General features: G+C 41.7%; 1 long non-coding RNA gene across 2 annotated transcripts in view, besides 1 other annotated feature; it reads right to left on the reverse strand.

The window, feature by feature from the left end:
- LOC105374126 (uncharacterized) overlaps positions 1-15,185 on the reverse strand; it is an 87,216-nt gene that overhangs the window by 13,197 nt on the left and 58,834 nt on the right. The window lies entirely within an intron of this gene.
- Positions 7,095-7,596: an enhancer, noted in NCBI's record as "NANOG hESC enhancer chr3:137366045-137366546 (GRCh37/hg19 assembly coordinates)". NCBI's record gives its function as "activates a minimal SCP1, AML or CMV promoter by ChIP-STARR-seq in naive H9 embryonic stem cells {active_cell/tissue: H9 hESC(naive)}" and the evidence as "EXISTENCE:reporter gene assay evidence [ECO:0000049][PMID:30033119]".

Consider the following 15,185-nt stretch of genomic DNA (forward strand, 5'->3'; position numbering starts at 1 on the left):
TTGCCTTGGCTAGGTGTACCGTGTTGAATAGCAGTAGTGAGAACAGACATCCTTGCCTTATTCGTGATTTAGGGAAAAAGCATTTAGTCATTCATTATTAAGTATGATGTTAGCTGTAGGTTTTCTATAGGCTCCCTTTACAAGTTGAGGAAGTTCCCCCTATTCCTAGTTTTCTGAGAATTTTTATTAGAATGAGTGTTAAATGTTGTCAAATGCTTTTTCTGTATCAAAATACAACACTATTTATAATTACTCAAAATAAAATGAAATAATTACGTGTAAATCTGACAAAATACTGCAGCTTGTATGCTGATGAAAGAAATGAAAGATTGAAATAAATGGATAGATACTGTTCATGGATTAGCAGTTCAACATAGTAAAGACATCAATTATGCCCAACTGATACACAGTTTTAATGCAGTTTCCATCAAAACACCAGCAAGAATTTTGTAGATATAGGTAGAACTATTCTAAAATTCATATGGAAAAGCAAAGGAATTAGAATAGCTAAAATTTTTTGAAAAAGAACAATAAAGTGAGAAGAACCACTCTCTCTGATTTCAGGACTTAATATATAGCTACAATAATCAAGACTGGAGGAAGAGACACATCGATCTGCTAAGTCAGCTTGCTATAAGCACTGTTGAAGAAGGTCTTCAGGAGAATCTGAGACTAAAATTCAAATAAACTTGTTCTACAAACAGTTACAAAATACTATGTTCAGATCCTCCCCAAAATCTATGGATTTCCTCTGCAGAAATACCCTTTTCAGGTGCCTTGAGAGCTTTCATTTCCTGTGCTTTCCTCAACCCTGTCCCCTTTATTCAAAGGCAGTGGTCCTCAAAAAGTGGTATCCAGAGCAGCATCAGCATCGTGGGGAACATTAATACAGAATCTTGGCCTCACTCTAGACTTACTGATTCAGAAACTCTGAAGTTACACCCAGCAATCTGTGTTTTAATGAGCCCTTGGGGTGATTCTAATGCACACTCACATGTAAGAACCACGGGGCTAGAGCCTGATAAGTCTAGAGGCTTCTTCCACCGCACATAAAATAAAACTCTAAAGTACAGTGGTTTCAAACCAGAATTGTTTTTAATATTCATTGTGGAAACAAGCTCTGGCACCGTGGAAACTGGACCCTATTATTCAAGAAGAAATAAAACAAAGCACACACATCACAAAGAAAAATCCACCAAACTATTACCAGTTGTTTTTGACTGGGTGGTAGAATAATTGATGTCTCCACTGAACTTTTCTGTTTCCAAATATTCTATAATAACCTTTTTTTTTGCGACAGGGTCTTCCTCTGTGGCCCAGGCTGGAGTGTAGTGGTGCCATCTTGGCTCACTGCAACCTCTGCCTCCCAGGTTCAAGATTCTCCTGCCCTCAGTCTCCCGAGTAACTGGGACTACAGGCGTGCACCACCACACCCGGCTAATTTTTGTACTTTTAGTAGATATGGGGTTTTGCCATGTTGGCCAGACTGGCCTCGAACTCCTGGCCTCAAGTGTTCCGCCTGCCTCAACCTCCGAAAGAGCTGGGATTACAAGAGTGAGCCACCACGCCCGTCCAACATATTATTTTTAAGTGGACAAGAAACAGACCTCAAAATGGAAGGAAAAATTTGTAGTCCATCAAGTATGAACGTTCAAGAAAAACATACCAAAAATACTCTTCGGCCATTTCAATAGTCCAGTCAAACAACAGTAATAATTTGGCCGATATTTTCTCTTTTAGTCCCTGAAGAGTCTCAGCTTCTTGGCCTTCAAACACATTTACTTGATCATTGGGTGCAGTAGCCATGATTTTAATGAGTCAGTAAAGATTAGGACAGGTCATTTTAGAAGACTAGCAACAAATCTCAGAACCCAGGGATTCTCAATGAGCAGAGAGGCGCCTACTACCTCCCTGATGCAACCTGTCTTAGATAAGGCCCCAAGTCAGCCAAACCCTCACCTTTTCTCAGGACTCTGATAAGACCCAGACCCACAAACTCCCCAGGGTCCTACTCACAGTCTAGCAACATGCCGCACCCCCACCCCAGATTTTTTTTTTCCTAAGCAGACAATGTGGTATTGTGATTAGATATAAACTGAAAGTGTATTTTCTGCCCTTCAGTAATTACACTGCCTTATGGTAGCATTATTCAGTGTGAAGCCTTATTATACCGCAGAATGAAATTCTGTATAATTTTCTTCTCCTCCAATGCACAAATGGAAATCATATTTTGGTCTGAGTTGGGAAGAAAGGCTCAGTTATCACTTGTGAGCGTGGTGTTATTTTCCCCAGAATTAAAAAATCCATCTGGGTGTCCGACCTCGCTCACCCTGCTGCCTCTCCATTCAGCCTTTTGTATGCAGATGAACCTTATCAATTTCCACCGCCTCAAAAGCCCGCACCCAGCTTGGTGCTTCCCCCTGGTCCGCGCGGCTTTAATGGAAATGCATGAGGCTTTTTTTTTTTTCTTTGATGTCTGTGCAATATACGCATGTGGATAAAAACCTGTGCTTTTATTTAGGGGGAGGGGGAGGGGGGTTCAAATCAAAGTTAAACTCTCTACCGTATCGCTCCTCGCTGGCGATTAGCGGAGGAGAGAAAGGAACAGCAAATCCAACACAGAAGCTGTGAAACTGGGGTTATTCAAATTATTGACTAACAAATAAAGGGCATGGGATGTCACATTTGTATTCTAAGGGTTTTCATCCCGCCACAGGCCTCATCAACAACTTAGTGGAGTGCTACTAAATCCCCTGTGTTAACATGCGGGGCTCGGGGGGCTCCGTGTGATTAATGCATTAATTGCAGCTCCCTCAGGCCTGACGCAGGCTGTGTCAATAATTCACTTAAGGCCAGTTGGCCCTTGAGTTACTCTACAGTCTAGTGTAAACAACTCGCAAATAACACCACTCAACCATTTACCCCAATCCGATTGCTGTTTCCCAGGCTATTAGCAACTTCCAATGAATGATTCATCCGCTGGTGACAAAGCCTAGCCGGGAAATTGTCTGAAGCTACTAGGACTACATGAGTAGATCAAAGCAGCCTGGCTTTCACCCAACCTGAAGGCCCACGTGGCTATCCGAGATGTTGCTTTCCCAGGCCAGATCTATCCAGTGCAAAGGAAAAGGTTGTTTGAAAAGAACGCCTAATAATTTGGACAACAACCCCTCCTGCTCATCCAGATAAATCATTCAGAAAGAAGAAACAAAGCACCCAGATTTTCTTTGGCTCTAAGTATGCCACCTACTCGTTACATTTGTGACAGATAAGTTTAATTCTGTTGACCAATATTTTTACATTGTGAAGCTGGTGATGCAATTCACATGAACCCTGAGTTTGGAGGCATGAATAAGATCACCTTCCCTGAATTAGTGAGAACTGGCTGTGTGAATTTGAGCTTAACTGCTCAAACTCAGTTTGCTCTTCTTAGGGATAGAGACAATATTTGTCCTATTTATTTAACCAGATTGTGGTAAGGATTTTAAAGTAATGGTAAATATGTAAACATTTTTTGAAAACATGGAAGAACTAACCTAAATGAGGAGTTAAGGCTCTTACTGATTAATATGCTAAAAACAATATATCTTTAGTTTTTGTAGTACTTTACATTTCTCACACTAATCATGTGTGAGTTTTCTTAGAGAAGGATTTCAAATATACTCAAATATATGGAACAAGGACTAACCCCTTTTAGACCTGAATAATCAGGTTTAAGGGAAGAAGCCGAAATCTCAAGGTTAAAATATCTACCCTCTTCTGGCCTCATCTGTCTTCTTCCTGAAAGGAAACAGTTCCTCCCAGAGGGGTTTATTTCTCTTTGGATATCTCTAATTTGAAAAAAGTTCTTCCTCACATTACGCTTGGCATCTGTCTCCTTTAATTCTATTTTTCTTTTTCTTTTTGTTTTTGTTTTTTTTTTGAGACAGAGTTTCTCTCTTGTTGCCCAGGCTGGAGTGCAAAGGCGCGATCTCGGCTCACTGCAACCTCTGCCTCCCAGGTTCAAATGATTCTCCTGCCTCAGCCTCCTGAGTAGCTGGGATAAAAGGCTTGCACCACCACACCTGGCTAATTTTGTATTTTTAGTAGAGACGGCGTTTCTCCATGTTGGTCAGGCTGGTCTCAAACTCCCCACCTCAGGTGATCTGCCCGCCTCGGCCTCCCAAAGTGCTGGGATTACAGGCGTGAGCCACCGCGCCTGGCCTGTCTCCTTGAATTCTCTACTCATTCTACCTAGCTCTGCTCCTTGGGATCCCAAAAAACAAATCTCTTTTCCAAGTCAAGGGGATAGTTTTCAAAAATACACATTTTAATTCTCATAATGAGAGAATCATCAAGTCTTACAGAAGTTCTGGAAATAAGATCCCTGATCAGTGATCAGTCAAAACCATTTATTTTTTCCTCCATTTGGTTTTTAAAAATTTAAAAGTAAACACATTCATGATTAAAAAAAAAAAAGTTCAAACAGAACACAAGGTGTAAAGTGAGAAGTAAATGTGCCCATCTCCCTCCCCATTCTCTACATTCATACTCCTCTACTCCCCAGAAATAATTACTATTAACAGTTTCTTGAGTAGCCTTCTGGCAATTCAAATGCAACAAACTTACATGAATACACAAATTTGGGTAATACTATGCACATTTTCCTACAACTCTTTTATGGAACAATATCTTGGACATATGAACATAGCAGCATATATAAAACAACAAGGTATTTACTGCAGAAGTATTTGTTATAGAATTTTGGATCTAAATTCACATGTGAGATTGGCCAGCAGTTTAATGGTGCTGTAATGGTAGGTTTTGTCAGGCTTGCTAACTTCATAAAATGATTAAGTAGCTGCCGTCAATCTTTTTTTTTTTCTTTCCTATATTTTGGAACAATGTATATGGCATGAAAATTATCTGTTCCTTAAAAATTTGACAAAACTCATCCTTAACACTGTCAGGAACTCATGCCCTTTTTAGAGGTATAATTGTTTTATTACTCCTTCAATTACTTCTGTGATTATTGTTCTAGTCAGGTTTTTTGTTTTTGAGCAAATTTTTATGATTTATATTTCCCTAAGCATTTTTGTCTATATTTTTAATTTATTGGAATAAGGTTGTACTTTGTAATTTTATCTCCTATGTATGTTGTCATGTTTCTTTTAAATTTTTGTTTATTTATGCCTTCTTTCTTTTTTCCTTAATTGTATTTGCCAAATATTTATATAGTTTAGTAATCTTGTATTTTCAAAAACCAGCTTGTGGTTGCATTTATCTACTCTGCTTTTTATTTCATAATTAAATAATTTCTACTTTCATTTTTACTAATTCTTTTTTCCTAATTTATTTGGAGTAATTTTGTTGTCATTTTTCTAGTTTCTTAAATTGAATACTTAGCTTATTTTTAATATTTATTGTGTTCTAATAAATTCTTGTAATGCTGTGCATTCTCCTCTGTCTCTGTCCCTACTCATAGACTTTAGTAAGTGTGTCCTTAATTTTGTGCATTTTCAGAATTGGTAATGACCATTCTTACCTCCTTTTCAGCTACAAAGTTATTTAGAAACATAATTTTTTATTTTCAAGGACAAAGTTTTCCTTTGGTTGTTAATTTATATTTTTATTGCCTTGTGATCAATAAGTACAAATCATATAAGTTTTCTGGAATTTGTCCAGTTTTTTTGTAACCTAAAACATGGTCAATTTTGCGAAGTCTGTTTGGTTTAAAAATAACGTTTTCTCTATCAGAGTAAGGCAAGTATGTTAATTATGTTAGGCAACTTTCTTTACATTCCTTCATTCATTTCATTTTATCCTATTACTTCTAATGATTGTGAGTGTAGTAAGTTAAGGTTTTTCACTGTGATTATAGATTTATTCATTGACCCTGTGTTTCTGTTTGGTTTTGCTTGGTTGTGAGGTAGATAGATTTTCTAGTGACCTATCTCTCAGTTCCTATCAAATGTGTGTTAGAACACATGCCAGGTGCCTTAATGTTTCTTTCATATTTTGCTTTCTAGGAGAATTGCTCAGCTTGGTCTTCTAGCTTACTTGTTTCCTCTTTAACTGTTTCCATTCTGCTACTCAAACTGTCTATTTAATTTTTGGTTCAAAAATAAACATTTTAGTTTTCCATATCTCTAGTTGATTATTATGGATACAGAAGCCTCTATGACTCTCTTTTAATTATGTTTATTCTAATGTCCTGGTTTTTTTGCTTTTAATTAGGCTAATTTCCTGGTAGTGGCCCATGAACTTACTGAGTTTGTGGCATCTCTTTCATAGCCTTGGCTTTCCTCAAATGTTCAGGGACTCTTCCTTGTATGCTCATCTCTGTGTGTGTGATCCCCTTAGCCAGCCTCCAAAGATTGTTGGGAGGCAAAGAACATGCATCAGGCAGTGTGAGCCAGGAGTTGGATTCCTGGATATTGGGTTCTTATGGAAACACCAGCCTCCTGAAGCACTGTACTTCCTCCCTGACTAAAAGCCCATCCTCCTCCATTTGTGGCTTGTTGCCTGCCTTGACAGATGACCAAGTTGAAGTCATGTTCCCCTGCCAGAGGAGGTTCCTGCTTTGGCCCCTATACAACCACACACACACATTATCAGCTGTCCCATCCAGTCCCTCTTGCCCAGGGATCTTCCACCTGAGGCTTACTGCTCCCCAGCAACCACACCCTCCTGTGCAGCAATGCTCTTCTGCACATATTTCCTGCTTCTGTCTGATTCCATCTGACTTTCATCTCTCTAGGATTCCCCATAGTTTCGAATGCATTGATGACACCTCTTATTTTACATTCTGGGTTTGGATTCTTTTTCCATAAGAACTACATCTCTTTTCTATCATTCCCACAGACTTGCAGAAGGGGAGATGAGTCTGTAGTGTGTACTTTTAAATTGGTTAGCGACTGTTTGCTGTGAAATGGGCACTTCCCCTAGACACTACTTACATGTCCTTGAAACAATGGTTTTTTAAAAAGGGGCCTTGGAATTGATACTGGATAGAGTGTGGGTAGAAAGAATTCTTGTGACTGTTGAACATGCATTTTTAGGAAAAGTACATGCATTTACCAGAATACTGGTGTTTAAAACAAATTAGAACACCAGGCGATTGGTACCCACTCCTATTCCCTGGTGGCTGCTGTAGGAAGGGCCGTGGAGGCTGGGCTTCCTGGGCTAGGCTAGGAGCAGCTGCGCCTATTTAAATAAGAGAGAGGGAAGGGAGGGCCAGTCTATTTACAGGTCAACAGCAGCCCTGCTATCTGATGCCTTGTGGAACTAATTCCTAATTGGGGCAGTGTTTGTCAACACTGACAGGACCCTAATACACTGTAATCGCTCCAGCCACAAGCTCCGATAGAGATCTTAATCTCCACACTGTGTCCCCTTCATAGGCAGCAGGCCTGCTGCCACCCCCTCCTTCCCCTTCCTTGGCTCTGTCTCTCTCTCAATCTCTTTTCCCTCCACCCCCACTCTTTTGTATCATTTACTTCTCTATTGCCATCTCCCTTTGTCTCTCATTCACAGGCTGGTTCTTTCTTTCTTGCACTCTTTGTAGGGTCTTGGATCTCCCGCTCCATCATTCTCTCTCATTCTTTGTCTGGAACATGCATCATATTTAAATCCTCAAGAGTCCCCAGAGTTTAGGCCACATTTAGTTTTAATATGTGGGTGTTTAATAATTCATTGTAAAAAAATCTCTGAAATCATTTAGGAATTTAAATTATATTTTGGCAAATTTTTATAAATAGAAGTGGAGGGTTAAGATAAATATTTGTGGTAAATGGAAACTGCATGGCTTTTTTTTTTGTTGCCTATAGTTTGCTAATTTTGCAAAATAAGTGTCTACCCTTAACCAGTGTCCTGGTTGGTAATATTTGCAGCATAATCTGAACTAGGTCTTGGAAGCAGAACCACACACAGCAGGCACTGCTGAATCAGGGTGAAGCCTGACTGTCAAATACCTGTGCTGAGAGACCACATGGAGACTGCCCCAGTTCCCATATCTAAAGAGACCTGGGTAGAAAGCACTGGCCACGTGTGCACTTGAGTTGGAGGCACTGTGAGCAGATCCAGGACAGGAGGTAAAAGAGTCACTCCATTTCATTCCTTTTCAGTCAATTTTCAATTTTGCCTCCAAAATGGCCTGTTAAGACTTGAGTCACACTATTGACCCTGGGTCTAAAGCATCGTCACTTTTCTGGATTATTGCTAGTAACCTCCACCTCTCTCTGTCCTTCAAATCCCCTCTTGAGGATGTTCCTTATGGAGGTTGGTTGTTCTCATCTTTAGAGTCCCAGCTCAAATTTATGCCTTTACAGAGAGGTGAAACCCTACCACCCTAACTAGAGTATGTGTAGCTCTCCATACACCAGTTACTCCCTGTGTCCTTATCCTGTTTATTTTCTCCACAGCACTTATTATAAATTGTAATTACTTCATTTGTTTCTTTTTTCTCCAGGAGCATAAGCTTCTTGAGGACAGGAACTATATCTTTACCTCACCATGATACCTCACTACAGTACCTGGCATACAGTAGGCCTTTAATAAATATTTGCTGAATGGATGAATGAAGGGATGAATGAATAAGGAACCAAGGAATGGGGAGATCATCCTCTAATCTCACTATCTCCTAACAATAGTGATCATAATTCCATTGCTTTAATTTTCTCTCTTCTTAAAGATTCTTAGTGACCTATATAACCAAACCCACACTTCTGAATTTCTTTTTTGAGATCTCTTAAAATTTTTCCCAGTCTCTCCAGCCAGCCTTGTTGATGTAGTTCTCATAATTTCCCATGTAGAACTCTGGGCTCCATTCATGCTCTCTCCTGTGTACCTTTGCTCAAACTGTTCCTCTTCTTCTAGGACGTCAGGAAGCTGAGAGCAAGGCATGTGTCATCCTTCTCCGCATCCCTAACCCACAACAGACTTTTCAAAACATCTCTTAATGGTTATTGGCACTACTGTTCACCAGATTTTTCAGAGCTGGCTCTCAGACTATATTATCACATTCTTCAGACAAGAATGCCCTCACCTACAGGTGTCATGAAGCTAAATTTACAACCAACACAACAACCTCACATTCAGTTCCCATGGAAACTCCCTATGCATTAGTCTAACCTCAGGTTTTTGGGGGCCAGGCTGTAGAATAGTTTTTCTTCTTAAGCTGCAGATATATCTAAATAATTAAGAAAAATGTGTGGCAACGTGAGGCACTAAGGAAGGGAGAGCTGGAATCACTGTAAAGGAAAAAAAAAAAAAAGACACAAAGGACATTCTAAAAGTAGAAGAGATACAAGCACATCCCCAAAGCCTGGGTCTAGAGATGAGAACTGGCGAGCCAAGGTGGCAAGCAAAAGTAACTGAGGGCTAGTAAATAGGGAGTGGGCAGAGAGTTGCAGGAGGCCTGGGATTGTGGTCTCTGGGGAGTGCCTTAGAGCCAACTGAGGCATAGCTCAGAGGTAGGTCAGGGATGGGGAGTGCTCCTTCTTTTTCCTTGTCTTCCTCTCTGTCAGCCTCCTCCCTCTCTTTGCCCTCCTCTGTCCCCTAGTTCTCCTCCATGCCTTCTACTTCTCTCCCTCCTCCTTGACTTTCTTTTCCTGCTTGTCTCACACTGACAAATCCATTCTTGCACATGCTGATACTTTTCTCCCTTTTTCGTACACTCTCTTTCTCATACACAAATGGGGCTGAAGGCACATCACCAAACCACTACAGAACTTCCCACCTTCTTTTAAGGGACACAATCAATGCCTTTCCGAGATATACTTACAAGACCCCCAAAAAATAAGTCCTAAAAGTGCAGCACTCTGAGTGTTCGCTGTCACATGCTTTTGGTTTTTCCTTCTCCCAGTAGCTCACAAAGTCTTCCTACATCAGTCCCAGCCATGGATACACTTACCTGTGATTTATTGATGATAATTGTAGGAAAGCCATTTGTAATCAAACGTTAAACAAAGACATTCTCTCGCTGAGAGGGAGTGATAACGCACCATTTAGTAATTTTTGTGCAGTTGGTAATTTGGAGAATGAATGATAATTTCTGAGCCTTGAAAAGCCACATTGACAATGCCTGGTGCTATTCACCTAGTGAATAAAGACACCTTCCTCTCTATGTCTTGTGATAAATTTCTTTTATTAGGGTAACTTACGTGGGACTTTATCTTAATGGTCTCTCATATGGGGCAGTTGTGCTTTGGCCGTTAGGCTGTTTTTCATCACGCCTTAAACACAGGGCTCGGAGAAAATAAATAGCAATAGTAGTTCCAGGAAGCTCTCAGGCAGCTCAGCTGCTGCAGAAATTAGGCTCTAAAACTCACAGTTTTGCCCAATCTCAACTGGCAAAAAAATATTAACAGAGGAAATGGGTCCCTACACTCTCAAGGGGATGGTGAGGCTCCCTCACCTACCCACCATTCCACTCCTGCTTGCCCTTCCTCAGTGACTGCCTACTTGTGCAGTTTTCCATCTAGTTTCCCCTCTTTGTCCCCATTCTCCATTATGTTCTCTTAATTAAACTTTTCCCTGTGTTAACTCAGTCAGTATCCTTCTCAGTGTGGAAGGAAGTTTATGGTATATCCAGTAACTAAATAGATGTTATGTTGGCCAGAACAGGTTCTTTGCAACCTGCCTTCACCAGAGAGAAATCCTGGCAGGAGGTCAGAAGAATCTGGGGAAGAGCAGCCACCCACTCCATACCACATCAGCATATTCTTATGACACTGACAACACTGCCCCATTGACAACCTGCTTCCATTACCAGTTATGTATATCTCACTGCATTCAGCAGAGGCAGGCTGCCTTTAGGTACTGGTCTTCTGAGTACTCTCCCTGAAAGAGGCAGGCTGCCTCAGTGTGCCTTTCACTAGTTAAGGGCCTTGTTATAGGTATTGTGACCAACCCTTCAGATGTCAAAGAATACCCATGAATCCTGTCCTTGGGTCATTTTCCCTTTCCCACAGTCTCCCAATCCTTAACCCTGTCTCCAAGCCCCTCACCCAGTTCCCACCTCCAACAGTGTCACAAACCCCCAAAAGGGCTGTCAGTCATTCTCTGCCCCTCCCAGTTTCTCTGCCAGGTAGGAAGAGTAGGAGAGAGGAATGGAGGGAGGCTATCTTAGTGAGCCAGTAGCACAACTAGGAAACCATAAGACATCTCAACTGCCTTAGTATACTAACATAGTAACTGTCTCTTTCTCAGCCTTGAATTGAGTTACAGATTTCCTTTCATTGCTTTAGCCTAGGACACATAGCTCCGGGAGATGGGGGGAGAAATATTAATAACACCTAACATCTAATTCACATTTACTGTATGTTAGGCATTGTACCAAGAACTTTTCATTTATTATGTCATTTAACCTTCACACCATCTTTACCAGGGGGATACTACTATTATCTGTTTTTATTGGTGGAGAAATGCTGAGAAGGCCTATGTTACTTGCCCAGAACTAGTAATTCTTGGTGCTGGATTTGGAACCCACAATATCTGACTGGAAAGCACTCACTTTTTTCCTCTCTGCTGTTCTGACAATGGCAATCTCCTCCAAACACACTCTAAGTCCTCATAAAGGGGGCTAATACATGCCCTCTCTACCATGTGTGGGTAAAGAGAGATGGCTCGTCTAAGTCCATTTTGTTGAGTCCCCAGACATGATGCCACCACACACCTCTGAGATGCTGGTGGATTTCCCATCACCCTCAGTGGGGAGCTGACACTTGTTTCTCTCCCTCAGAGGATGGATCAGCTCCTGCTCAGAGATACCTATCATTTATTCCTCAATCATACCCTCTTCCTCACTGGAGAAGTACTGGCCATGTCCCATGAGCTCAAATACTATTCCTGCAGATGCAAACCCATAGAAGGGAGTCTACCATCCACCCAACTTAAGGAGTCACCACTGTCTTTCATCCTCAAAGAGCAGCCAGTCTCATAACTGCCCTCCACTCTCTACCCATCTCCCCTGTGTCTGGCCATGGAGTAACAAGGTTGTGTTTTGGTCTAGTTTAGATACTGACTATAAATTCTATCTTGGGCTTTAAAGGTCATGTCCCACAAGAGGGCAGATTCCCTCCCACTGATTGCCAAGGAGAGAGAAGATTATTGTGATATTGTGATGTACCACCTTGACACATTCCCACTCCACCCTTTCCAATCTCTGGTTGTCTTATAAGCTAGTACGGACCTTAACCAGGCTACCCCCAATTAATGTATCTTTTGTCATTATGAAGAACCTGCCAATTCCACAGCTATCTCTAGTCTGTTGTTCCTGGTGCAGAACCATAGTATCACACTGTCTTTTCTTTCTTGCAGTGTTGTGTTGAACTACCAGTGTGCTAAGCCATCCTTCAGCTTATTGATCTTACCCATACTACCTCTTTCTTTGCCCCAAATCAAAGGTCAGTGGGCAGCCAGGGATCCTACTGAAAAAAAACAAGAAATGGGGGCTACATCAGAGGTAGCATTCTTACTGTTACATAACTGTAAACACAGATCCTATGTATTACCCCCATGAATGTTACTGCTCTGGGTATAGAATTGCAAGTATTTTAAAAATAATGTTCTGTTAAAGCTTTTGATTTGTAAATCCTTCCTAGAATGGTAGGGAATTCTGTAAAGTAATGTAGGAATGACCTACTATACTCCACCACAGTCAGAGCTACCCATCAGGATTCTTGTTGGAACAAATAGAAAGACAGACAAGGATCTCCAAGCAAAGGAGAACAAGTAGCATAATAAAGAAAAGCAAATTTAAAAATATGGTTGTCTCATTTACTGGTAACCTCTGAATGGATTATGTCTCAGACTAAATACCCAATCAAGACTGTGGTACCAGCAAATCCTTTCAGTTGGTCAAACTGACTCAGAAGGAAGAGGATAAGGCAAGGCTTTCCCACCTACACCTGATAGATTCAAAATACCCACATTTAAACAGAGAAATACAGAAAGGAACTAGGGGGACAAACACAGTTTAAAAAAATGCAGCAACAGGTATTGACATACAATGTGGACTCCAATCAAATAAGTAAAAAAAAAAAAAAAAAAAAAAGGCTAAGTTTTTGAGAGTGCTGTGTTTATTTCCTTCTTCCCCCAAATGTGCTAAAGGTCAAAATCAACCTCTATTCTATGAGAAGGAAGTGGGCTGAGTAAGCTGCTGAAACACTAAGGAGGACATATTCTTCAATGCGCACTTCAGATGTGGCCAGGAGGAAAGAAAGAATTTTAGAGAACAATGGATGAGGAGCTACTCCCTAGTAACAGGATCAGGAAGATGCCTCAACCCCAGCAGATTAGTCCCATGCAATATGTAGCAGCAAGATTTTAAGATTGCTTCATGCCTGCCTTTGCTGTGTCTCCCAATTTTCCCCTTAATGAAGGGTAGCTGTACTTTGGTTATCTCGTTTGTGTTCCAAGGTTGTTATTGGATATAGAATGGGGATATATTGTCTTTTTTAGCTCATAGGTCTCTGAATAAAGAGGCATGTTTTAAAACAATGGATGGGTGTAATCATTTGTTTCTACCTTAATGCTAGAAGCATCTTTCATCAAATAGCTCAATGATCATTGCATTGAATGATTGTTGTATTTCATTCCCTTCTCTATAGAAAATAAAATGCAAGCCCACTACATGGACCATAAAAGTTCAATATGTAGTAAAAATTATTAATAATGTTTATTGTTCAATGTTTTAGAGTCAATCTGTGGACAAAGCACAGAAGACTTGTTTGTGATTGCAGAACAAAATGCAAACATCAGCAACCTTGACAATGAGAAAGAAAAAGTGAGCTTATGAAAAGAGGAAGGAAGGGAGAAGTCTGGCAAGATGGCCAAATAGGAACAGCTCTGGTCTGCAGCTCCCAGCGAGATCAATGCAGAATGTGGGTGATTTCTGCATTTCCAACTGAGGTACCTGGTTCATCTCATTGGGACTTGTTGGACAGTGGGTGCAGCCCAAGGAGGGTGAGCCGAAGAAGGGTGGGGCGTTGCCTCACCTGGGAAGTGGAAGGGGTCAGGGAACTCCCTCTCCTAGCCAAAGGAAGCCATTAGGAACTATACTGTGCACTCTGGGCCCAGATACTGTGCTTTTCCCACAGTCATTGCAACCCACAGACCAGGAGATTCCCTCCAGTGCCTACACCACCAGGGCTCTGGGTTTCCAGCATAAAACTGGGCAGCCGTTCGAGTAGACACCAAGCTGGCCACAGGAGTTTTTTTTTTTTTTTTCATAACCCAGTGGCATGTGGAATGCCAGCAAGATACAACTGTTCACTTCCCCAGAAAGGGGGCTGAAGCCAGGGAGCCAAGTGGTCTGGTTCAGCGGGTCCCACCCCCATGGAGACCAGCAAGCTAAGATCCACTGGCTTAAAAGTCTCATATTCAGCACAGCAGTCTGATCTCCACTCGACCTGGGGTGTTCGAGCTTGGTTGGGGGAGGGGGGTCTGCCAGTGCTGAGGCTTGAGTAGGAGATTTTACCCTCACAGTATAAACAAAGCTGCCAGCAAGTTCGAACTAGGTGGAGCCCACCACAGCTAAACAACGCCACTGCAGCCAGACTGTCTCCTCTAGATTCCCTCTCTGAAAAAAAAGACAGCAGCCCCAGTCAGGGACTTACAGATGAAACCCCCACCTACCTGGGACAGAGAACCTGGGGGAAGGGGTGGCTGTGGGTGCAGCTTCAGCAGACTTAAGCGTCCCTGCCTAGAAGCTCTGAAGAGAGAGCAGATCACCCAGCATGGCGTTCGAGCTCTGATAAGGAACAGACTGCCTCCTCAAGTAGGTCCCTGACCCCCATGTATCCTGACTGGAAGACATCTCCCAGTAGGGGGCTACAGACACCTCATACAGGAGAGCTCTGGCTGGCATCTGGCAGGTGTCCCTCTGGGACAAAGCTTCCAGAGAAAGGAACAGGCAGCAATCTTTGCTGTTCTGCATCCTCTGCTGGTGATACCCAGGCAATCAGGCTGTGGAGTGGAACTCCAGCAAACTCCAGCAGACCTGCAGGAGAGGAGCCTGACCGTTAGAAGGAAAACTAACTAATAAAAAGGAATACTATCAACATCAACAAAAAGGACATCCACTCAGAGACCCTATCCAAAGGTTACCAACTTCAAAGACCAAAGGTAGATAAATCTGCAAAGATGGGGAGAAACCAGGGCAAAAAGCCTGAAATTCCAAAAATCTGAATGCCTCTTCTCCT

The sequence above is a fragment of the Homo sapiens genome, chromosome 3 (genome assembly GCF_000001405.40).
Source record: "Homo sapiens chromosome 3, GRCh38.p14 Primary Assembly".
NCBI lineage: Eukaryota > Metazoa > Chordata > Mammalia > Primates > Hominidae > Homo > Homo sapiens.